The sequence below is a fragment of the Homo sapiens genome, chromosome 6 (assembly GCF_000001405.40).
Source record: "Homo sapiens chromosome 6, GRCh38.p14 Primary Assembly".
NCBI classification, from domain to species: Eukaryota; Metazoa; Chordata; class Mammalia; order Primates; family Hominidae; genus Homo; species Homo sapiens.
This window is the reverse complement of record NC_000006.12, coordinates 97,074,290-97,101,125: the sequence shown is the minus strand read 5'-3', so window position 1 is coordinate 97,101,125 and position 26,836 is coordinate 97,074,290. Positions and strand designations below refer to the sequence as shown.

The 26,836-nt window shown below is 39.1% G+C and overlaps 1 protein-coding gene across 25 annotated transcripts in view, besides 1 other annotated feature; it reads right to left on the bottom strand.

The window, feature by feature from the left end:
- Nucleotides 1–26,836, bottom strand: part of KLHL32 (kelch like family member 32) — a 242,671-nt gene that overhangs the window by 39,628 nt on the left and 176,207 nt on the right. For 18 of the 25 annotated variants that reach the window (NR_136580.2, NR_136579.2, NM_001323258.2 and 15 more), the window contains one exon: nt 15,785–16,000. The exons of the other annotated variants lie outside the window; for them this stretch is intronic. Coding sequence is in view for 12 of the 18 variants with exons in the window: in NM_001323258.2 (NP_001310187.1) it covers nt 15,785–16,000 (216 nt within the window). In the remaining 6 variants the exon portion in view is untranslated. The remainder of the gene's footprint in view (nt 1–15,784; nt 16,001–26,836) is intronic. 25 annotated transcript variants of the gene reach the window in all.
- Nucleotides 3,243–4,391: an enhancer, noted in NCBI's record as "VISTA enhancer hs676". NCBI's record gives its function as "enhancer in: hindbrain (rhombencephalon)[8/11] | forebrain[8/11] | branchial arch[5/11] | ear[6/11]" and the evidence as "EXISTENCE:transgenic organism evidence [ECO:0001131][PMID:17130149]".

The following is a 26,836-nucleotide window of genomic DNA, read 5'->3' as shown; positions in this document are numbered from 1 at the left end:
TTCAAGAATAATGAGCTTGGCTGAATGCAGTGGCTCATGCCTATAATCCCAGCACTTTGGGAGGCCGAGGTGGGAGGATTGCCTGAGCCCAGAAGTTCAAGACTAACCTGGGCAACATAGGGAGGCCCTGTCTCTACCAAAAAAAAAAAAAAAAAAAAAGCTTGGCTGCAGTGGCACATGCCTGTGGTCCAGCTACTTGGGAGTCTGAGGTGGAGGGATCACCTAGGCCTGGGAGTTTGAAGCTTCATTAAGCCATGATTGTGTCACTGCATCCAGCCTGGGCAACAGAGCAAGACCGTGTCTCAAAAAAAAAAAAAAAAAAAAAAGAATAATGAGCCAAGAGCACAAGAGCACGTTCACTGGCAAATGTGCTCACCATCTGAAATCAAATCTTCAATATTATAACCAAATGGACCTCAAGGGCTCAAGCAGCTGCCCCAGGTCACTGACATAGGGACAGTCAGATCCCTCAAACAAGTGGTACTATGATGAGTTTAGATGTCCAGAAAGTACCCAAGTTGCATTTAAGGATTTAATGTTGGCAGCCTCCAAATAAAAATAAAAGAATAGTCAAAGGTAACTTTAAACATCTTTTAGAGCCATGGGGCACAGAGACTGGCATGGGGGAACCCATAAACTGAAGCACAGGACTAAACACTGTCAGGGCCAGACTCTACTGTCAAGGGGATAGGACAAGGAGCACTGCCAGCCAGCTGGTAGGGCTGGGGAAGGGGAGCCAGGGTCTACACTGTCAGTGAGCTGCAAAGGATATACATAAATTTGATGGCACCACTGACTACCTGTACTAGGTGAATTTCAGTCTGGCTACTGATGTTGAAAAAGCATATTTTGCACTGCCTTCTCTAACTTCATTTCATCATAGTATAAAAAACTAGGGAACTATGAATCCTCTATTTCTACTTTGTAACACCTGTGAGTACAGTACACACAATTTATATATATATATTTATATATGTATTTTTTGAGATAGAGTCTCACTCTGTCACCTAGGCTGGAGTACAGTGGCACAATCTTGGCGTACTGCTACCTCCACCTCCTGGGTTCAAGCAATTCTCCTACCTCAGCCTGAGTAGCTGGGATTACAGGTGTGCACCACCGCGCCTGGCTAATTTTTGTATTTTTAGTAGAGATGGGATCTCACCATGTTGGCCAAGCTGATCATACAAATAATATTTTTATCGAAGAAGATACCCTCTTCACCACAATGATCACAGATTTTTTTTTTTTTTAACCCAAATAGAAATTTCAGAGAAGATTTGGGCCAATGCCCAGGTAGTCATATCAAAGGATTTGGGTTCCACAAGGATCATTACAAACAATAAATGTCAGATAAGTCTCAAAACAGAAATCAAGCATGTAAGGAATCAAAGCAGCAGAGACAGGGGGGCAGGGCTTAGTTCGGGTGGGAGAAGTGGCCCAGAGAGCCCAGCGTGCAGCAGTCATGCAAAGAAGTCAGAGATGTAGAGAGATAGCCCTGTGGTGGAGAACCAGCCGCCTGATAGTCTCAGAAGACTCATGAGAGAAGAGAGGACTGTGGAGGAGGAAGGAATGAGTAGAAGGTAGTAGCTGTTGCAAAAGAGAATCTGTAGGATAGTTGAGAGAAAGACTGTATTGCAGCCTCACTGAGAACCATCAATGTCGAATGAAAGAACACAGGAGTCCAATCTGGGGAAATCACAGGTCTGAAACATTCTTTATCAGATTAGGAGGAAGAGCAAGGTGAACCCTGAAGATAGAGAAGGCCACACTGAAGAGGAAAAAGAAACTGGGCCCCATGAGCAGGCCCAGCCTGGTAGCAGAAGCATGGCCAGCACAGGCAGGCAATGAAAGGCAAGAGGACCCAAGCGGGAATATCACCGTTGAGGGGTGCAGTCTGGGTGGACAGAGTCTGCTTGAGAGCAGGACAGTGGCAGTCATGTCATGCAGGTGTATGAGGGAAGAAGGCCCTCTGTGTTGGAGATGACTTTGATATAAAAAGTACAGACGTGGGGAAACTCAGAACTCAGTCAGGCTTAGACCAGAAACAATTTGACAAAATGAGTTATGCTTTCTTTAAGATGAAACGGCCTTTGCTTGAGTCCCATTACTTTAAAAACATAGCGAACCTATAAGATAAAATAATTCATTGTCACAGATCCCACAAGTTAATATGAAAATTAAACTTTGCATTACTTTTCTAATAGCAAAAACTATTGATTGACTTGACTGATGCACTTCTCTCCAAATTATCTTTTTAGTTCCCATTGCTTAACCAAAAACAAGACATAACAAAGCAATAATTTTATGAAGTATCCCTGAGGTCTATTTTACTATTTTATAGAGCTAAAAAAATAATCATTTGTGGTGTACTGCAGTGAGGAATCTTGTGAGACCATATATACACAATCCCATTCTCATTTATTTTTTAAATAAACATTTTAAACAGAACTGTTCATTAAATAAGGGCTGCATTAAAACAGCAACTGGATTCAATGACTTAATTCATTTTTGGAGACTTCTCAGGTGAGACTGAATGATCACCTAATGACTCTCTTTACTATTAAAAAACAAATAGGGTTTTTTGAAAGCAAGAAAAAAATAATGTGAAAATAGAACACTTGAAGTAAAATTACAATAATTATGATGCTGTCACTTTAACATCTATAGACTTAATTGTTTTCCAATTGACATGTGAGAAAAAATGTCCCAGGCTAGGTAAAAATATGCTGCTGAATGTTCATTGGAGGAAAAAAAAATAATGAAGACAACAAATAAAAAAAGGCAAAACGATTCTAGCTCTCAGGTGCCTAATATATGATGAGACCACTATGCATAGCTTGGAGACAGAAATAAAGGTTTTCCTTTATTTTTTCTTTTCCTCTATTTTTCTTTTTTAAAGGGTATGCATGAAAGCGGTACAAAGCTCATTATAACACAATGTGAGCTGCACATTGTAAACACCAGCATTATTAGATGTCTGTATCGTTTTTAGCCTATACTTCAAATAGCTGCAAGATTAGGTGCTGGATTTATACAAATTGAAATTTGCAACTTTTAAAACCTTAGTGCTTCCACAGACAAATCTCTGTCTTCCTTCCTCAACCCCTCCCCTATGTTTGCCAAGAAGGAGGGTAAAAGGAGTAAGATGCTGTGTTTGGAAGCAGGAATTCTACAAACTGTTGTGAGACATGCTAGTGATAGAATGGGGCCTTCACTTTCATATATGTGCCCATTTTGAATTTACTGCATTTGCTGGTTACTGTGCGAAACAGGGCAGAACAACTGTGTGAGCTGCTGCATTAGCAAACTGGCTAAAGTATCCCTGTCGTTTATACTTTCCCACTGCACAATCGGAATGGAAACATTTGCTCTATTGGAAGGCAGTGATAAGGACGGATTTTTAAAGTTTCCATTTTTAAGTGAAAATGAAAGCAAAATGCTCTTCTAGATGTGTTGTGCCTTTGAGCTCCATTTGAAAAAAGAAAAAAAAAAGGCAGAGAAAGCTGCTGTGAAGGTCACCGAGTGAAAGAACTTCCTCAGGGCACAGAATAAATTAAATCCCAAGGAAAAAATAAAATGTGATTTCCAGAGTGTGAGGCACAAACTCCAAATGACAATGATTGACAGCCAAACTATATCCGTGCAATATCCAAGACTGCACGTTCTCATTTACCTCAGTGTAGCCAGCAAGCGCCCATTAAACATCCGTCTGATGCCCAAATTAACCTTCTTGGCAAACTGAAAGAGGCACAAACTATCATAATCAACCTTTCATTATCACAGCAGCCTCTAGTTAAAGGGTCAGAATAATTGTGCCATCAGAGCCTTGATTGTTTTCAATCAACAGACGGCTGGAGTGACAGCTCGGTGATGGAGGAGTCTGATGAAACCGCACCAGGCCTAATCAGAGCAGATGAAAGGAAGGCATGATTGGTGCAAATGAACAGTCGTGCCTCTCCTTTTCATTTACAATCTGAAATTACTCTTAAATTTGCGTGGTTTTTTTCCCTCCCTTATGAGCACCACTGAAAGAATGTTTGACTTATTATGAGTTCTGACAGTGCAGAGTTATAAAACACAGGTAGGGTTATCAGCTGAGGCTTTAAGTGGGTATTCAGCATAATTCTAACAAATTCGCTCTTGAAAAGCACAAAATGACTAAAAAGGCTTCCAATGACCTAACCTCTCAGTGCTGTTTCATTAGCAGACCCATTTATTCTGCTGCTGTTAAATGATGAGAAGATAAAACCAAGGGCAGGAATATCCTGTAAATGTTTTCCCCCCGTCTCACTGCTCTGCTTACTTCAGTATTAGTTCCTTTGCCCCAAAATCCTTACAGTTCTCTAAAAGCAGTAAGAACATTAAGAGCTCAAAAGAGCTCATCCATCAGAGGGCATGCCTCAAACAGGAGTTGTTTTTGCTTAAGAACTTGATGCTATGGTGGGAACCACAATTGGTAGGAAAGGGACTGGAACCCACCAATCCAATGTGGATATCAAAAAGAATATCTGGGGAAAAGGAATTAAAAATTCTGCAATAGGCCAGGCTAAATCTAGCATAAAAAGGATTTGGAGAGAACTGAAACACCATAAAGCTGCATCTATACAGCTGCTTCTGTTAACAAACTATTGGCATTAACATCCTTAAAAAGTTTAGTGATGAATGGAATATATACGCTTGGAGTGGTGAAAATAAGCTTCTACTTTCTATTTTCTTTAATGCTGAGACCAACGAGCCAATGGTGGGAGTATTATGATTTAGGTCAGTGCTGCAAAACAAAGGAAAGCCTTTTAGCTGCAAAGATTAATATGCATCTAATATGTGTGTGTGCATGCGTGTCTACCTGCAAGTGTGTGCACTGTGTGAATCCCACCTGCATATGTGTAAGTGACAGAGGACAGGACGGCTGTTGGCTCAGAATCCAAGGTGGCTTTTAACCTCTTTACTCAAAATTTTTATATAAAACTTATGCCATTTTATTAGCTACGTTGGGTGTGAGAATGATGAGATGGGGTATATAACTAATAAGGTAAAAAGAAGACCTATAAAATAACAGTCTTGAATTTTCCGTGCAATATTTAGCAAAATTTGTTGCCTCTGAACCGGGCCTCATTTTATGAGCCAATTGCTCACCAGGAATGTATCTAGAATGTACAAAATTCATGTCGTTCTACCTACATGTAAATGGACTTCAAGCAGAATATTGCCAAATCTTGCATATGACTTTCTGCAAAATCTCAGAGTTTTTGTTTTGTTTTTCAGAAGACAGTTGTCAAAGAAAGCTATCTGGGAAATGGTTCAAACACATGTATTTTCCAAATCCATCCTCACTCTCACACACACTTTCTCAAGGGCTGCATTCCTCAGCAGATCACTTTACTTCTTGTGTGCTCCCGGGCACCTTCCACAAGCTTTATCAATGAATGACACATGCTCCATCATCTCCTGAGGGTTTAGTTCTCTCAGTGTGGTGTTGGCTTTTTAAGGCATGACTTCCTTCTGCCTAGAAGGCATTTTGTGTATAGGTCAAATAGGAGTGGCTTCAGGATACTGACTACACATGGGGTCGAAAACAGGATTTCCCAGCTGTTTCACAGAGCATGAAGACGAGAAGCAGGCCAATTTGGGTAGGTGCCTATTCTAACTCCCAGAATCCAAGGGGTGTGGAATTAATCATTCTAAAGCACTACACAGCCCCTCTACATTGCCTAAAACTTACATGAGATGAGAAGAGCAAAAAGATTCTTCAGGGGACCTGGCAAACCTGATAAATCAACCCCTTTGTTTACTTCATTATTTACACTTTATTGGATTTATATGGGGCTTCACTCCAAAGAGTACATAGTCCCAGCAGTGGGCAGAATGAGAAATTGATTACAGTCCTCAGCAGGTCCAATGTCATTCTCACTGCCAAAGAGCCTAAAGTGTGTTTGCCACTTAACTAAGCATCGTCCTTTCTGGATGGAGAGGTTTAGTTTTAGTTTCAGCTGTGAGTAATTTTCCATTGTGATTGGCTGACTTATAGTCAATTTAGTATAATTAATGCCAAATTACATTGTAATTCACGTAGAATTACAAATTAAAAGCTATATTAAGAGCAAATGAATTAATCAAAGTTAATGATATTATGCTCACTTGTTTTAAAGTGTTAATAAGATAGGTCCTCCTAAAACGTTTAAACTTTAACGCACCATCCATCACTCCTTTAATTACCCAATTTCCTTGTGTGGCCAGAGAAGGTAGTGGGCATTCCTCATCAACAAGAACACACACAAAGAAGATATGTGTCCTCAGCCTCTGGTGTGTGGGGGTCTTTTTAGCTCCTGTTCTTGAAGCATAAGTAATACCGTGCCACTTACCAATACTGACTTGTAACTCTTCCTATAGACAAAGGAGAACAATGCACAAAATCTTTGATACATAACTTTAGAATCAGTCATTGACTTTTTTTCCCTGAATTTGTCTTCCTGGTTATGCTTTCTCTACCAGAATATCAAAATAGGTTTGCAGTTCATCAACATGCCACCGCACGTAACAAGGAGGAGGTGGTCAGAGGAAAGGGTGGATCCTCACCATGGAGAATGCATAACTCTGTATTATGAGCATAAAAAAAGCTCAAGAATGATGTATGAATGCTTCTCCTGATTATGATCTCAGAATGGCCACTTTTCTCCTCCAGGTGTGTTGAATCAGGGTGTTATTTTTCCTTGTAGCAGAAGTTTTGGAGGCAAGGGTGGGAGAAGCACTTCTAAGGAAGTCAGTATTCAACAATAAATGTTGAGGCTTCTCTTGACATCTCCTTAGAATGTAAATAATTCTAGAGCCTCTGGGTCACTTTATAAGTAAATTTACATCCTCTCCTATAGAACTCCCAGAATAGCAAATCTCTATGGTCTGACACAGCCAATTAGCATGAACATCATTGCTATTCAACTGGCCTAACATTGAAGAAAAAGGACTCACAGGGTCATTTGTGTTGGAAAGAGACTAACATTTATCAATTTCAAGAAATTTATATCTTTCACCCTCTCTCTTGAACCCCATATCTAAACCATCACCCAACTGTCAATTTATGCTGCATACATTTCTAAAATTTCAATATATTGGGCATAAAATGAAGATGGAATGATCAATCATTTCCATTTGTTCCATCCAATCTCTGGTCTCAAATAGGGACAACAGCCTACAGACTTTTTCCCACACAGTCTGTGTCACTGCAACAGAAATAATGGCACTCCAGGTTCTTTTTTACTCTAATTTATGTCTCTTGGTCAGATTTTAAAGAGATCCTCCCTTATCGGCTTTCATTTCCTGCTTTATACTACACCATCGTGTACTTTGAAGGAATAAAAGATGGTTCCCTCCCTCTGCCAGAATTCTCTAAGCATTCTTCCTTATCAAACCATCCAGAGCCTCAGTTTCTGGGCTCTGATCAAGAAAGACCCTCAGCAACACTTTCCTGTACGACTTTATTGGAGACATTTTTGCAACTTCCCACAAAGTCTCACAACAGGTGAAAATGAAAACTGGTAATGTATTAGGAAATGTCTACTTCTGGCTCACTCATTACAGAGTAATATATAAAAACGTTTGACTTATGAGATATATAAGGTACTTTGAGTTTCTGTTTTCTTAAAGAGTTGGTGTATTTCAAGAGAATACAGTGAGACCTCCATTGAAATCTATACTGTGAAGTGAGTCAACTATTGAACTTCTGGAAGCTTTAGTTTTCTCACTAGTTAAAATTTGGATCATACTTGCCTTATCAACCTTAACAAGGGTGATGAGAGACTCAAGAGAAATTATATGTGTGAAATGCTTTAAAATATAAAGCCCTCTAGGCTTGTAAAGAATTATTATTGTTGGTATTATTATTGATGGACTTCTACGCTAGCCTCAGGGTTTCTACCTCATATATGGCTTATAGTTGGGTTTTATTTTTAAATCCCTGATAACCCAGGTTAGCAGCAATATTACTGCAGGGCACCAATGCGTAAGTAATATTCTACAGTCATCTTTTTCCTTCTCACAGCAGCAACAACAAAAATATCAGTCTGGAAACAACATGAATCACAATGAAAATTAGAAGCAGAGAACATAAATATGTCATATCTCATAAATCACCTTGTTGTTCTGTTGTGCTCATTCTTTAAAAAGAAGGAAAGAAAAAAAACTATTAACTCATGAGAACAGCAGCACATGAATACAAGTTGGGTCTCCTGTAATTTCTGATAATCACTGCCCCTCACAGCTACTCAGCAACGCACAGCTCTAGCACTGAGGATTAGCTGGAGCAAAGCCCCTCTGAAATGAACATGTCATGCGTCTTGCAAAGGCATATACCCCAGACAAACAACAGCAAAGCCACGAGTCAAGCTACTGTGGGATGCACCCTCACAGAGGAGTTAGCCGCATATAGATTAGAAGGAAAGATTAAATATATGCTCTGGCAACTAGGAGCACCAATCCCTGAAATAGCAGTGTTACTCTGTGTCCAGCTAGGGGCCCCTCAAAGGATAAAACATCCTCTGGGCAAAACATTATTTGGGATGCAAAGGAGCCACTGTTTATTCTCTTCACTAACATCTAAGAAGAAGGAAATGGAGATACCCTCATCACATTTGTAGAAAAAAACTGTATGTAGTTGGGAGAAACTATAAAAAGTTTCAGAAAGAAAATTAAGAAGTGGTACAAATTTGTAAGTTGGGACCACATGTACGAATTTGATGAGTTTAAGAAATGGTAACTTTAAAAAATAGGAGATATTATGAAGATACCCAGAAAGTAGCTATCTGGGAAAATAATAGTAACAACACATGCATGTATGAAAGAGAATTGGCCGGGCACGGTGGCTCACGCCTGTAATCCCAGCACTTTGGGAGGCCGAGGCAGGTGGATCACGAGGTCAGGAGATCGAGACCATCCTGGCTAACGTGGTGAAACCCTGTCTCTACTAAAAATACAAAAAAATTAGCCAGGTGTGTGGCACATGCCTGTAATCCCAGCTACTTGGGAGGCGGAGGCTGGAGAATCACTTGAACTCGGGAGGCGGAGGTTGCGGTGAGCTGAGATCGTGCCATTGCACTCCAGCCTGAGCAACAAGAGTGAAACTCCATCTCAACAACAACAAAAAAAAAAAAAAAAGAAAGAAAGAGAATTGAAGAAGGGCAGGAACATGATGAAAAATTATAATTTTGTTTGAGGATAAGAGTTCTTAGTATTTTATTCTATTTCTAGTTACCAAGGTCCAAATATTAAAACATGAACACAGCTTGTAGAATTTTTTGATTAAATGTTTACCCACAGCCTGATTTGTTTGAGGCTTGGACTGTATCACATGGATTGACAAAGGTTTGCGAAGCTGTTTAGAGGGTGCATACAACTATCGAGAGTTAACAATAAGCAAAGCATTGAACAAAAGGCGAAGGGTCACTGGTTGGTATTGAAACATCCAGTCAAAAGCATGTCATCTCCATTGTACCCATATCATTTCAACGTGCCCCAACTTGGCAAAGAAATCATTATGCTATTTGGCACAGGTCAGTCCCCACTGGGAAGGCATTGGGCAGGTGGGAAAGAGCAGCAAGCGGAAAGCCCCACATCAGACACTGTCAGGCCCATGACAGCAGGACCCTGTTGGTGCTTCCCATTACTGACTACCCAGCACCCATCATATGGCAGGCAATAGTAGTACCCCACAGGACATGGCTGGGTAGAGCAGGCACTCAATAACTATTTGGAATGAATGAAAGAATGAATGAGGCATATGTCATCTAACAGAATTAGAATTAGCAACATGACACAGACACGGAGGCAGGCACAGAGGCCATGATTTGTTCAATCCATGGGCACTACCCAAGGGAACTAGAATGGTCATGCTCTTTTTTCTGTTTCGTTTTGTTTTGTTTTTTTTCTTCCAGACAGGGTCTCGCTCTATTGCCCAGGCTGGAGAGCAGTGGTGCAATCACGGCACACTGCAGCCTCAACTTCTTGGGCTCAGGTGAACCTGCCCTTTGGGTAGCTGGAACTACAGGTGCATGCCACAATGCCTAGCTAATATTTTCGTAGAGACAGGGGTCTCACTATGTTGCACAGGCTGGTCTCAAACTTCTGGGCTCAAGCGATCAGCCTGCCTCAACCTCCCAATGTGCTAGGATTACAGGCGTAAGCCACTGTGCCCAGCTAATCAAGCCCTTCTTAATTCCTGTTAAAGTCATAGGATTAATTGGATGCACCTCTGTGCCCATCGCCTGAGTATTTCTGAGCTTCTATTACAAATTTAGAAGCTATAGACCAAAGTAGACATAGCTCAAGAATTAGAAGACATGAGTTTGATTCCTAGATATGTAACCTCAGTTTTCCCTTTTGTACTACAGGAGAACAAAGCAATAATAAATGAAGATGCATTTTCAAAACTGTGATGTGATATTCAAATTGGAAGTATTTTAATAGTATTGTTTGACATCTAGTACTATTTAAATTCCTTGCTTCTTCCTGGCCAGAGGTACATTTGGGTCAATTTATCATCGAAGGATAAAAGATGAAAGCTGAGTACATCACCAGTGTCTTCTACTTTCCAACTGTAAAGGGATAGTAGCTTTTTGTTTGGGTTCACTTCTGGGACTCCTTTTGAAGAAAATGATTAATTCAAACTGTAACGTGGCTGATTCTGTGGTATACATAAAAGCCCAGGAGGAGCGTGTCAAAAAAACCACTGCATTTGAGATTGTTGACTAAACAATATGTGGCTTATGTCTCTCAAGATATAAAATGAATGTGTTATTAAGAGTATGACTTAGGGAAGCAAATTTCCAACAAAAATATAAGGAAAAATGCAGTCTTTAAAAGGCCAAACTCATTTTCTATATCAATTTTCTTAGAATAAATCCAGCCTAATGTAGGAATAGTAGGATGTCTTATTATCCATTCAATACATTTTAATATGGAAACTCTACATTGTTGTTTTTATTTATTATTAATAGAGTGCAAGCAGTAGGTAATGCAAACACTACAGCACAGCCTCTGCCTCTAGGGATGGATAATCACGGACAAATATGAACAGGATTGCCCCAGCCCCAAATCAGGTGACATGGTCCCTCTTTGCCACACTAAAATAGGACATAACTTGGGTTTATGCAATTACTTTTGCACCAACCTAATAGAATAAAGGAAACCCTCCCTGCTGAGGTCTTACCTTGTTTGACGCCACTCACATAGCCAGCAAATTTTTTGGTCTTAATATCTACTTAAGTCCAGGCAAAGTCAGACTCAGAATACAAGTAGGAAGTGTCCTCAACCCCCAGGTTAATGAAGTAAGAAAAGTACTGTTCTTTTTTTTTTTTTTTTTAGCTGGAGTTTCATTCTATCATCCCAGCTGGAGTGTAGTGGCGCAATCTCCACTCGCTGCAACCTCTGCCTCTCGCTTCAACTGATTCTCCTATCTCAGCCTCCAGGCCTCAGCTGGGATTACAGGTGCCTGCCACCACACCTGGCTAATTTTTGTATTTTTAGTGGAGATGGGGTTTCACTATGTTGGGCAGGCTGGTTTCAAATTCCTGACCTCAAGTGATCTGCCCGCCTCAGCCTCCCAAACTGTTGGGATTACAGGCGTAAGCCACCGCGCCTACCCAGAAAAGGACTGTTCTTACAAAATAATAAGTTCTCACTAAAAGTAAGAAACAGTTAATACATTAATAATTAAAGGAAAACAAAACTTCCCACTCAGAGATAAAGGTGAAATAAATTTCCTTAACCTAACTACTGAATATTTTTGTAAAGCATTTTACCCCAGAATCTAGCTCCCAACACTATGCCTAGCATGTAACAGGTGGTCAAGAAATATTCATTTTTATTTCCACAAGCTGTTTTCTTTCATTTTTAAATATCCTTCTTGTTTCTGCTACTTTGGAGATAAAATAAAAATTCAGAGAGCTGTACTTATGGTTTAAAATCAGGAGGATTCTCTCCATTTGGGAGGAGGCCTGGAAGAGGGAAATGGAGTTGGCAGATCTGTCCTCTGCCTTCTTTCCACTCTAGCATAATTTTGGGTATTTAGTAGGTGCTCAGTACATACTGATGGGTGGAGAGCCATACTTTCTCCCTATGCTAGTGTGTATAAGAATTGATGTTATATTTTTCTATATAGGCTTTTTCTACAAATTGTACTTCCATGGAAAACAGTAATCTCCCTCTTACTCTGGTGAAAGAGAACCTAAAGGCAGAAGAGGCAGGAAATGCATGTTCCTGAAAAGAAAACAGAGCTTACTCAGCACTTCCTATGGAAATGAAAACAGATCTGATCATGAGAATGATACAGAATTACTTCTATGTGTTGTTCTAAGTTTTTTTTATGAAGAATTGCCATGTTTTGGCTTATTTATTTAAAAATATTTTATTGACAGATAAGGATTGTTTAGATTCAAGGTGTACAATATGATGATTTGATAAGCATATACACTGGGAAATGATTACCACAATCAAATTAATTAACATATCCCTGGAACCCATGCTCTATATTAGATCCCTAGAACTTGTTTATTTTCTAACTGAAAGTTTTGTGCCCTTTGACCAACATCTCCCCATTTCTTGCACTCCCCAGCTCCTATGGTAAGACCCTGGCTCATCAGTCTGAAAATATATGCAAAATCTAACAGAAGATATTTAACAGGGCCCTACTGAAATGAAGTTCTAATTGGGAGCTAATATCTGAAAGCAAAATCAAACAGATAGAGATTTGCCAGGTCACAAAGGCAAGTGACCTAATGTCCCATATTTCCATTTCAGCTGATTTGTTCAGTTTTAGTCTCCTTTCTTTGAACCCAATAGTCAATTTGGTGTCTTTCATCTGGAACCTGATAAATTGCTGGCCTTGAAACATAAAACCAAATTGTTGAGCTGAATTGAACTAAATTTTAAAAAAACAATATATTTTAGGGAACTTCTATGTCCTTATCCATCTAAGGTATGTATGTGAACAACTCTCTATGTTACCTCTAAATATAGAGTGAAATTAACCAACAGATCAAGTCATTTCAGACCATGGAAGGGATGAAAATTTGTCTAGGAGGAACCAAGAAGACTTCTGTGAGAGAAGAGACTCAGAATAAAGCTTAGAAAGGTCAGATGGAAAAAAAAGAACAGTTCCAAGGCATCATCTTGGGGTATTTTACAGGTTCACAGATCCACAGAATGATTACCGTGGCCTGCATACAACACATTTTGTCAAGGAAAGGGCTTGGGTAAGGAACAGCAGGAAAAAGTGAAAAAGAGTTGGTTCGGTGAGGTTAATTTGAAGGTTCTTATGACAGGTCTTCAGAGCCAGACTGCATGAAATCTGGTGAATAATGAAAATTAGACCTTTCACCAAATATGGGATGGTCCCAGATGACATTATCAGTACATAGTAGAAGAGCCACCTGCGTAAGTGTGTGTGTGTTTACCATGCTCTCATCTAAGTTACTGGTTGCACATATTAATCAAATAGCACGCCCCCCTCCATCCAGTTTTCTATTACCTGTCCTACCTTGTGCCAATTTCCTTTCTCCTCCCCAACACCTTTTGCTTCACACTTCTTCTTTAAGACATGGGATAGGGATTTGTCAAAGTCAATGAGCACTTTATTACAGTGAGAACGTTCCGTAATGAACAATTCAGCAATTTAATGAGATTCTGTAGATCTGTCTCCAGCCTGTCCATCAAGTTTCACTTCTATAAAGCACCCTGACACTAATCCTCTGGCATACCCAATCTCTACTCTGGGCTGAATATTAGATTCTTCCATGGTATATTGCATTACTAGCATAACCTCAGCAAAAATGATGAACTTAACTATACTTGAGGCAAAATAGCGGTCTGATTTGATTTTTCTCTATGGGGTTGAATATGAGGGAAATACTTATTTACTAAGATAAAGCAAAAACAGTTTCTTATTGCCTGCTGAATGCCTAAATTGATAATATTTATGTGAGTCTTTTAATTCTTTCTTGAGGACCAGGTATTAAAAAAATTATTGCCTGCAGCAGAAAGCAGCTTTTAAAATTCTACATTATAATATTAGTAACCTTTAGAGAGGCAATTATGATAACTCTTAAGTGGATAGTATGGAATTTTCTTGACACTCAGCCATCTGCACATTACCACGTCAATCTCTGGCAGTGCCTTCAACTGCGCCACAAAAAGAGATAGAAGCCACAAGGATGGTTAGCCTCAGATGTCAATTCAGTTAGAAAAAATTAAATGCAGGATTCATTCCAAATCTTTCTTTTTCCCTTGGGAAGTGAAGAAAATTTGACTACTTCCCATTTTGAATTGACCAAAGTAAATTCTGTTGATTTGTGTTTATAAGAGAGAGCCAGAGATAATTGAAATTTCTACCAAAAACAGATCCTTGTCAACCTGTTCAACCTCTGCCTGAACAAACATTACCAGAAATACCCAAGGAGCCACAAAAAATTTATTCTTTAATGTTTTTTTGGTCCTTATATTTTCTTTATCAAGACAGTGTGGAATATTGAAGACATGGGGGCAGGTGTTAGCAGACTTAAATTTGAAGGCTGGCTCTGCTCTGTGACTCTGAGTAAGGCACAGAAGCCTCATTTTGTTCATCTGGTACATGCAGTGATAATAGCCATTCTTTCAGGCCTGCTGTCAATAAGTTTGCAGAGAGCCTGGGACCCAGAAGGCCTTCAGGACGCTGCAGCTCTTTAATTCCCTCTGGTGGAAGCAATAATGAAGAGGGAAGTTACTGATTAAAGTAACACAAATAATGAAATAAGGCAGAAAGGCATCAGGAAAATAATCAGTCAGTAGAGTTAGCTACTGAATAATTAACAGCTACCTATATGACAATTTTGGCCAGAATTAAAATACTCTCTAAATATTACTTGATAAGATACCAGGGATTCACTGTTTAATCAGCTAATAGAAGACTTTAAATTTTCCCTGGTAGTCTGTATATAATTATTTTTCAAATGATTGTGAAATCTTGGAGGCATGGCACCCTACAAGTAACAAAATGGCTAGCCAGTGCTTCAGAGAGTGAGATAGACAGGCTGTAATATGGAGGAGGAAGATAGGCTCTCTGACTATTCCCCAAAGACACCAAGTGGATTTTTCAAGGAATAGTCACTGGGGATGAGCAGAAGAGGATTTAATTGAATAATCAACTTCAAACCACAAAACATCCTCCTGTCCTCTAGACAAGGGAGCGACACAATGTGAAAAGAATGCTATGTCAGGCGAAAAGGCAGGGCTTAGGAAAATAGCAATGAATGCAGAATGAACTAAGGATGGAGATTTTTCCACTGCCATGCAAGAAGAGCTTCATTTCATTCGAGATCCAAGCTGCTCTCTATTGCAACAAAGAAATGTTTCTGAATTGTTTACAGCAAAGGCCCAAATTTACTCTGATTCTCCTGGTCTTAAATATGCATATATATCACTTTACAATCCATTTTTTTGTCATATTTTGTTTAAGAAACAATTTTTATCAGGAAAAAAACATCCCTTGACTCAGATGTGACCACGTTAGGTTCTGGGAAGCCACAGTGAGGGTCTCATGGATTGCCCCTGCAATTCCCTGAGTTAAGCGGCAGAGTCCGCTGAGGGCTCTGAGCCTCAAGGGCCAGTGTTCTCCAATCACTTGTCCATCAAGGAAGCATGACTTCTAAAACAACTCCATGAGGACCAAAGCCACTAAAATAGTGGTAATTGTTCCTCAGTCCTTTAACTTCCAATCACGGCATGCTTTTTCAGTGCCAAAAGCGACCGTGCACAGCGCCCTTACCTGCCAGATCTGCTCTTCACTCAGGGAGGTCAGGCGGTCGCTCTTCAGCACCTCCTGAAGCAGGCAATAGGGAAGCGTTAGAACTTCTTCTGGGCGGCTCTTCAGGAGTTCAGAGAGATGTTTCACTAAGAAATCGATCACTGCCTTCTCCAACAAAGTGAGGTTAAAGAGGTCAGCAAGTCTGTACAGATCCAAGTAATTAAAGCTATTTAATTCCTGGGTGCCAAAAAATAAAAATGAAAAAAGATCTCTTAGAAATAAATCCGAGAAAGAGCAGGCAAGAAATTCAGATTGACTCACTAAGGTTTTCATCACAGTGGTGGGAGAAATGGGAGGGCTAGTATAAAAAAAAAAAGAAATCACAATTATAAAGTTCTGCATAGAGAACAGCTATTCTAGAATTCATAATTTTTCCTCATTTTACTCCTCTTAAAACCCATATATTTAAAGACATCTTAATAAAAGGAGTGAAAGGGGTCTCTGGTTTCAAGGGCTGAAATGTTACTTTGCAACATTCTAGAGACATTTTACTAATGAGGGCAATTGCTTTTTCTACCCTTACCATATTTTACAGCTTTTTCTCTACTAAAGATAACGTAAGGGCAGGTAAATGGCGATTCATGATTAGATGACATAAACTATTTGAAGACAGACTGACTCCGCTCTTTTTCCAAAACTTCAAACTAAGTAGGTCTTTAAGTCAAAACAACCCATCCTGTCTTAACTAAAATCCAGAGTTTTATATACAAGGTCTCAGGAAATGAGGAAATCTCACAGAAAAGACTCCTGTTTGAATAATTCTATATTGAATCCACCTAAGATGGATGATTTGTAATTGTTCTTTGTTTTTTTCTCAGCCTCAGACATTCCATTCTTCCCACCTTTTTGAAGAGTTTCTGCAGAAATGCTTCAAATTTGGGAGGATTTTACCTGCAGTCTCAAGCTCATAGCCAGGGCTCTACAATTATGCCTCCAGAGAGCCACAGCTTCCACTGTACCTTTGTCACTGTACCCCCACAAAAATCAGAGATACAGTACAGTTGTTGAAAGAAAATTTGCATATGTCAAGTAGAATGAGAGTGGGCTATTTCCTACTTTCCCCTCACTTTTAACTTACAATTATTAATATAATTATGAGCAATAGTTTTCCAATAACTTGAGGAATGTATAATGCTATCAGATATCCATTTCACTCTATAAATCCAAGTAATTTTCAACCTACTTTTCCCCTTTCTGGTTACCTGAGAGTATCAAGAACTCCTTACTGAGGTGCATAGTTTGCACCTCAGCAGATAACTGTATAAAGTGGGGAGCTGAAGGAAAAAGAAAACTCACCCCAAGGCAATGACAACATAGCACACACTCCTCCTTTTGGGGCAGATGGGCTTTGTGAGTCTTAAGCAAAACCATTGCTTTTTGTCCTTTTGGTTAAACCATGTGTAAGCAAAATAAGCACCAATAATGCTGCTTTTAAATTTTCCATTAACGTGATGGGGGAAGGTGGGAAGCAATAAACTTCATTAAATGCCCAACAATAGTACGGTGGATGGGAAACAAAAATTACTGCTGTTATAGAAAGAGTGCCATTTCTAGTTATAAAAAGTAATAAATGCTCATTTCATAAAATTCAGAAATACAAAGTATGGAAAACAAAAATCCTTCATAATTTCACCATGCAGAGATAATCACTATTAATGTTTTTGTATATATACTTCTAGACTTTTAAAAAATAAGTCTTTTATATGTTGAAAAAAGAGAATAGTTGCATTTAGGACCAAACAAACCATCAGCCACCACAGGCACCTGGAGGCAACCAAGGCAGGCAGAGAAGAGCAAGGGCGGTGGAGGCAGGCAGACTCGGCTCAAATCCAGCTTGACACACCATTGGCTGGGGCCTCGGGTCAGTCACTGAATCTCTGTTATTCCCCAAGTACAATTTTTTTTTTTTTTTTGAGACGGAGTCTTGCTCTGTCGCCCAGGCTGGAATGCAGTGGTGCGATCTCAGCTCACTGCAACCTCTGCTTCCCAAGTTCAAGTGATTCTCCTGCCTCAGCCTCCCGAGCAGCTGGGACCACAGGCGCGTGCCATCGCACCCAGCTAATTTTTGGATTTTTAGTAGAGATGGGGTTTCACCATATTGGTCAGGCTGGTCTTGAACTCCTGACCTCATGATCCGCCCACCTTGGCCTCCCAAAGTGCTAGGATTACAGGCATGAGCCACGGCACCCAGCCTTCCCCAAGTACAAATTTAAGAGCTCAACAAGCTCATAGGGTTGGCATAAAGATAATGTATGAAAAGCACTTACCATAAAAGTTTGGCACGTGGAAAGTACACAGTAGGTTGCGGGGGAGAGCAAGAACAATAAAGTATATTTGAGCATTGTTGTTTGGGATCCATAAACCATGATTAATCACTGATGCAAAGAGGTCAAAATGAAGCATGTGTTCTCTTTAAATATTCAAGTCTTGAATAAGGCACACCATTAACTCAGGGAAAGAGGGGGTGGCCAAAATAAAAACCATAGAATTAAGATAAAAACTAATTGCAAGTTAATGCCTTCCACATCTATATGACTGACCCACATCTTTCTCCTAAGCTCTGAATTCATTTTCCCAACTGCCTATAAGAAGATGCTGTCTCTTGGATATCCCACAGTCATAAACTCATCATGTCCAAAGTCCAAACTGAGCTTTTTTCTTTCTTTTTATTTATTTATTTTTTTTTTTTGAGATGGAATCTTGCTCTGTCGCCCAAGGCTGGAGTGCAGTGGTGCTATCTTGGCTCAGTGCAAGCTCCGCCTCCCGGGTTCATGCCATTCTCCTGCTTCAGCCTCCCGAGTAGCTGGGACTACAGGCGCCCGCCACCATGCCCGGCTAATTTTCTGTATTTTTAGTGGAAACGGGGTTTCACCGTGTTAGCCAGGATGGTCTTGATTTCCTCACCTCATGATCCGCCCGCCTCGGCCTCCCAAAGTGCTGGGATTACAGGTGTGAGCCACCGCTCCCAGCCTAAACTGAGCTTATTTTATGATAGCCTGCATCTACTCCTGTATCTCCTCTTTTAGATAACAGTCACATCTAGACACCCACATCAAGAACCCAAAAGCTGGCCTACATTCCTCCCTTACATCTAGTCAATCGCCAGTCCTGTCTCTTTTTCCTCTTTAGTATTTCTTGTTCTGTTCCTTATCATCCCGTCTGGACTTCTTGCAACAGTGTCCTAAATTACCATTCCTGCCTCCAGCAGCAAACTCTCAATCCTCTCTTTTCACAAGAATCTACCATATTTATCATCTCTTTAAAACCCACTGATAAGTCTGATAAGTTATTTGCTTTGGGGAAAAAGTCCAAACTCAGTAACACTGTATAGCCTTCCATGACCGGGGCACTGCGATCTTCACATCCTAAGGTGCAGCAACCCTATCCACCCTGGCTTGGCTCTAGCCATGACAACAACCTACACATTCACACCATGTGCCAGGACTACAGCAGGAATTGGCAACACAGATAAGCAAAAAAAGGCAAGCCCTAGGCCTTATGGTATATATAGTCTACTGGAAGAGAAGGCCATAAATCAAAAAACCTTACAATTACATGGAAAACTATAACTGAGGTAAAAGCTACAAAGAGTAGAATATAGGACTATGAGTGTCCATAACAGGGATTTGACTTGGAGTTAATAAAGGACTAACTTGGAGTTGACTTGGAGTGGAAAGTTAGTAAAGGCTTCCCTGAGAAGCCGTTTGATGCTGAGAGTTGAAGGAAGAGCATCCTTTGTTCACTTGGCAAAGGGTGGGATGGGGATGTATATTAACAACATTTTATTTCTGTATTCTCCATGTTCTGGCATCTGGGGTTTCACTGACTGAGAATAGACTGCCCCTCCCAGGGCTAGCCAATTCTTTGAGAGAGCAAACGGCTTTCATATGCAAACTAACCAATCCAGAGCCCATACTCTAAATCACCTCCTCTATGTGGCTTCTACACTCCAGGAGGCAATAGTCCTCTGTCCCCATCATCCCAGGGCCAAGTACCAGACAACCAGAGCCAGCCCCTACACTCGTGAACCCATGGAAACTTTCAAACTAGCCAATCATAAGCCTGCTAACCCTGCTTTGCCCACTTCCTTCCTGCAGATACCACTATAAAGACTCTAGTCCACTTTTCCCCCCTCACTCCTTCTACCTCCTCACCAACCCTGGGGCTTCCCTATGCAGTCCTGGAGGTGTGGTCTGTGCCCTCTTATTGGAGCAGAAACAAATCATGTTTTCAATGGTAATTGTCTCCTGATCTGTTGGCCTCACCATAACTCAATAATAACAAAATCTACATTTTAAAACAGGATGATGGTAGGATTTCAGGGAGATGCTCCAAGCCAAAGAAGCAGCATGAGCAAAATTCCTATGGGATAGGAATTGTGTTTCCCTTGTTTCATCTGAATATCCTATACAGCACATCTCCCTTCCTCTCCATGTCACCGTCAATCACATTTCTCCATCTTATTTGTTTTAGAGCTTGTCACCACCTATAATTATCTTCAGCATTTATTTGCCTACTTGTTTATAATGTGCTTGTCTCCTCCCCTGATCCCCCAGTAAGCTCCATGGGAGGAAGGAGCTGCTGGTTTGTTCACCACTGTATCCCCAGAGCCTAGAACAATGCCAGGTACGTTCAAGCCACACTTGCTGAATGAAGAAACCATATCATCTTTTCAACTTCCCTGGGTCAGGTCAAATTGACCACCTCTTCCTGTGTACTTCTACTCTGCCCTCTGCAAATATGTCTAGCACATCACTTGTCACTGCAAGCACCCTTTAACTGCAGATCTATCTCCCTCTACCAAATCTAAGCTTCTCGGAAGCAAAGATTGTGTCTCATGCCTTGTGTGTCCCTGGTATCCAGTAGGGAGCAGATGCTTAATACATGTGTGTTTAATGAAAGAATACCCATGAGCTTTTTCTGTTTACTTATAATTAGGCAAAAACAGAATAGCCCATGTCTTTCCAATATGCCTATCCAATTCTGAACCTTGTCCAAATCAGGCCATTTTTCATATCTCACAGGCCTTCCTGATTGTCCCTTTCTCTTTCTGGCCTTCTGACACGTACACACAAAGGCAAAGCCAGTGGTCATCCTGTTTTCTGCGTGGGAAAATTGGTAATAATGACTAGAGTTGAAAGTGTTACTGAACAAGTATAATATAATCATTCTTCTGTGACAAAAAAATCAATCCACCCCAAATTTCTTTTACAGTCCAACAGAGAATTATTTCCTCTATCAATTGGCTACTTAGATCAAAAGATTTTAATATCTTTTCAAATGATACTTTTTCCTAATTACGAGATTGTCTCAGCTCTCCTGCATTCTGTGACTTAAAAATGTAAGTATCCAGGTAGCGGTAGTGGTTTTGAATGGAAATTACAGCTCAGCAACAAGAAACTCTCTTGAGTAAAAGAAAATCTTACTCTTTTTTTTTTCTAAAAAGGTTTCATTTCTGTCACACTGCTTCTCACTTGAAATTTAGTTTCTATTCAGAATTATGGTGCATACATTGTTGTTCTTTAGGGAATATTTTTAAATAGTATTTATTTTCCTTTGGTTTAGGGCTATTTGGCTTCTCTTATTCCTTCTATTTGTTTCTCATAGTGTGAATGACAAGTTAAATAAGAGAAGAGGAGCCATAAAATGTGTCCTCAATACCACACTAGCTATGGAATAAACACCAGTTTTTCAAGTTCAATAATTTTTAAACTTTATATATTCCCCAAACTCAGTCTTTCTGTGTGGCCTCTTTCCCTAATTGGTTCCTTCAATGGTTATTCCCCAGATTAACTACCAAATACGGTAGGGGTAAAAATATGGGAAAGGCAAATATTGTTTTATTTTGGTTTATATTCAAGTGTAGTTACATTTGCAAGGCAATTATCGAGCAGTTAGGACATGAATGGGAGGAAGGAGGGCAGTTTGAGGACAGTGTTGATCCTGTGGCCTTTCAGCCCACCCTTCCCAAGCCAGTGAAGGCAGCAAGAGAAGGAGGAGTCTTGGCCTCGGTGATGTCCCCTGGTGGGTCTCATCTGCAGCAGAGTGGCCATGGCCTTTGCGGTGTCTCTCAATATCTCAATTATGCAGGAACTACTAATAAATGACCAAAGTTCATACAAGAAGTACTTTGTTTATAATTTAGAGTAGATTTAAGCCTATGAAATAATGCCACCCAGACTCACTTGTATTCTACTATACCTTCTTGAATGAGAGAAAAACATGCAGCCTTATGCCTAGAGTCTGCATATTTACCACACATAACCCACAGCCTAGCTTAGGGATGTCACGCTCAAGAGCTGTGTCTTGTGTGCCAATGATGATACAAGCTGAGAATCATCTGAATTTCTGAAACATAGTCTTAGTTTTGGCTACCGCCGTGGCTCCCTGGCTTGTCAATAACCCCTTGCCCATCCACACTGCAGTTTAATCATGCCTCTGACACAGAAATTATACACATTATGCATAATTATATGATATCTGTTTGTGGGGTAGATAATGGAGTTAGTCTACAGTGGATGCAGTCATCTTAAAAATAGGTGTTTTGACATTCTTAAAACTAGATGAGGCACCCTTCAAAACAAAGCCTTAAAAACACCTATTTCTCTTGCTGTCTCATCTAGTTCTGAGAATGCCACTGACGTGTGAAAGAAAAATAAGCATCATGTACTATCACTATAGAAAACTATGACTTGGGTTAAAGATAATAAACTCCTCTCAAGGTTAAAACAAGAGTAATTTCATTTTGATTTCCCAAGTTTTCCCCCTCTAAGATGTCCAAATTGAATAGGATTACAGATTTTTCCGGGTAATAACACTCAACAGATGTGGCTATTTTAACAATGCTTTGTTTCATCAATGTAATTATAATCTTTCATTTCCAATTATTGATGCACTTCACTTAGACAACTCTCCTTCGAAATGTCACCTAAATTACCCCATGTCGATACTTTACTATAGATAAAGATAGGCAGGAGACATAGTGGTTCTATGCCCATGATGTAGTAGCATACATGAAGTTCTTATATAAAATGTTGATTTTATATCACAATTTGAAAATTTCTCTAAATGAAAGGCCATCCTTGGCTCTGTAAGTCAAGAAATTCTCTTTTTAAAACCACTCCCAAATCTATTCCAAACAGCCTGAGAAACCACTCTACATAAAAATCAGTATGGTTTGATTTTTAACAATGTTAAGTCAAAGTGAAATTTAAAAATTGTATCAGCTGCTTATAAGGACCAAGTAGCAAGTAGGATACGGTAAGTATAAGGCTCTTTATCACTGAATGAATTCTAATGCCTCCCACTTCAAGTTTCCTATCACATACACATAAGCTTGTCACTAAGCTATTCATGCATGTAGCTTATCTTCAAACTATTAAAAATGTACCTAGTAAACTAGTAAAAAGTAGATTTCGCATCGTATGCTTTTTGTATTCTGCACAATGTCAATCATAATGTCTTTCTCATAGATTGCAACAGAGAAGTATTTGTTGGATCAAGAATGAAAAAAAAGCAAACAGTTGTGAGGCACATCTATGACTTTACATGAAAAGAGGAAATAATAGCTTGGTTATAGATACAACTTAACAGTTGGGCAAAATAAACAGCTCTCCCACAATTAACTGAGAAAAGTGTTCTTAAGTACTTAATCTGAGCTTCAGAAAGTCCCTTGCGATGCTATCTAGGTACTGGGTTTTTCATACAATTGGGAAATAAAATGGAATGCCCTCTTGTGGTGCCAGATACATGAGGCCTGACTTCCACAGTGAATCTTGGGTCTCCTTGTTTTCTATATGTTAGATTTTTCCCCCTTTCCCCAGAATGTTGAAAAAGAAGCTTACTTCTCTTGGTTTTTAGTGATGATCAGAAAAAGATAAATGTGCAAACTGTTTGCCAAAAAAAAAAATCAGACATTATCAAATGAATTCACATTAATTTTCCTTTATACCATAAGCAGAACTTTGAGACTCTTTTGTCACAAATGATTATTATTTGTGAAAGATTTAAAGACATCGTTTGCTTCAGTAGACTTTAAAAAGCTTGTGAGAAAGGGGAAGTTCTGTAATATAAATGCCCTTCCCTTCTGCGGGACAACCCAGATCAGATTCCATCTCCAGGGAAAGGCAGGCCACTCCAGCTTGGAGGACTTTCCCTCCTCTGACTTTTAATTGCACTTGCTATTTGTATCATTTGTTTGACTCTTCTCTCTCCAGCTGTGCATAAAGGTGCAGATAGTATCTTTAGTTCTTTAGATCTTCCTCTCTGTCTTCAGAAAGTGGCTACCTAGCAAGTTTTGATTGATATACAGTGGGTAGGCAAGAAAAAATGCCACATCTTTAAAATTTCAAATTTTATTGCTTTTATTTCTTAGTTTATGGCAAAAACATAGATTTTCCTGCTCCTCTAAAAATATTTAAATATTTTACAATGTAAATAATTTATTAAATATTAATACATTTATTTAATATTTAAATAAAGGTACGTGCCTAGAAATGTTAGCTACACTGGAGATAAATATGGCAACCTAAAAAGATGGGAAAAAGCTATTTCCTGAACTTTTCAGAACTGTGTGCTACTTTTAGCATACGTATGCACCATGAGGTGCATTGCCATCTTAGTCTTCATGATTTAGAAATATTATAAGTACACCTAATTGTGCATATTTACTTAGGTTCCTAATTTCATAGTTTCCCTGTCTCCTTCACTGGGTGGTAAACTGCGGGAACAAGGCACTGGTGGTGTCTTTAGTTTAGAGCTGTAGGAAAAACACATGATTTGGAGCTGACCCATCTGGATGGCCTCAGGAAGTGGTTAATCTTTTCAAGTCTAATTTTCTCATCTAAAAATTGCGAAAAGTGACACTGCATTCCAGATCTGTGATAAGGATTCTCAAAAGTGCAGATAAAGTACCTTCTACATAGTAGATGCTCAACATACAGTAGCTATCATTACTCCCTTTTACAAATGCTGTTAACAGTACTTAAACTATAGCTTTGCATAGTCCATACTCACTGAGCGGGTAAAGGGAAGAAAACACTGAATGTCTAATATGGACATTGTTTTTCTATGAGTGTCAGCAAAAACCATAGCTGTCATTTCTTTTGTACTCAAAAAATACTTCACTGGAGATAAGCAGGGAGAACAGATAGAGACATTATACTGGACCATAAGCAAGTATGTATTACTATAATATACTCTGGTTCTCAAGCTCTATATTACTCATAGCAGAAAAGGCACATGGAGAAATCTACGGATGGGGGAGCTGCATTTCTTTATGACCTTATTTGAAAGATAAACTCCTTGGGGAAATACAATTTATTCAGATTATCAAGACCCCGCTGTGCAAATCTACAGTCTGGGAGCACACTATGGAGATCAAAAAATATTTACTTTATTCTGTTGGGTATAAAAGCTTTTAATGAATGCATAATTAAGACAAAAAAGTGTATACGGCTTTAGAAATTCCACTGCTGAGCCAAGCCATTAATATCCAAGGCACCATACCCAGTTGTGATTCCACCTGTTTCCTATTTTGATTACAACTGAGTTATAAATCAAGGTATTATGTGACTACCTAACCTGGTGCTGCAGGAAAGGTTGGTACTCCAGGAGTAGAGAAAGCAACATAAAGGGGGCTGGTGTGGATGTGCGGTAAGGTCTGGCCTTTGGAACAGGTTGAAACAAACCAATAAATAAACAAAATCCAAACCTTTTAATAGCCTTGGGATCAGTTATATAGGAAAGAAGTTATCATGTTTATTGTGCATGTGAAGGGCTCTGTGAATTTTCTCAACATTGTCATAGAGTTGATAGGATAAAGTCTAATTGTTATAGAAGAAAAAATGAGCAATTCATTGACAATGCAGGCCAGATAACTTGTAATATGATAAAATAATCAAACTCAGATATGTTTATATGTATAAACATACAGAGAGATATAGGCATATTTTGTATATAAATATGTAAATATGTATGGACAACTGTATGTAATGATATATTCAAACATTGATATGCATATGTATATGATACAATTTGATTAAATGAAAACAAAGTATTAGCAGCAATTCAAAAGTACAAGGAAAACTCCAGCATGCTCTAATTTTTGGAGTCTTGCAAGGCCTATTTAAATACATTTGTGCTGTGTAACAGAGGAATTCTACAATTAGGTTACTAGTACATTTTCATAATCAATTGTATGCATAATACCCAAGGCTCATGAATAATTTTATATTGTTCCTTGGGAAATTCTCTAGTAAGCTGGAAATCTAGTAGGGAGGAAGTGAAACATAGCCGTCAACAATAACTAATAATTCTGGCCCCAGTCACTACGTGCTGCAAAATGCTGTTTCAAAGTTCACTAAACCTGACTCAGCACGTAAGGAGATTGCCAATGAATATGGAATATATATAAGAAATTAATATATATATATATTTTCTTTTAATTGAAAATAGTTTATCTGAGCAACTAGGGTTTTAAAACTAAAATTTCAATAACTGTACTTTTTGAACCAGGATAGGCAAAATCAGTTTAAAAATGTTTAAAAGAATAGTATAGAAGTCATTATCATCTATTTCCCTACTTGCTCTAGTACACAAAGTCAGATTGCTGAAAATTAGCCCAGTACTGCAGACTTTAAATCATCCCTCAGTATGTCAATCATAACTTAATAAAGTAGTTTTTTTGTTTTTTTTTTTTAAATCCCTCACTTACCTACAGACTGTCTTAATCATTATTACGAATAAGAGTGAGACCTGGAAGGTTTTTTTGTTTGTTTGTTTCAGATTTGCATTATTTTCGCTTTTTATCTTTTGGATGCTATGAAGCATACATAGCATCAATATCTTTATGTTACTAGGAGCAATTCAAATTCATCTAAATGTGACAAATACACTTTCAAAATCTGAATATCAGTGACTTAACAGTCAGGTACTTGATAAAAAGCAGTGTGGCAACAGAATCTAGAGCGGGAGTTCTCAAACTGTGCTCCCTAGTTCAGACATCAGCATCCC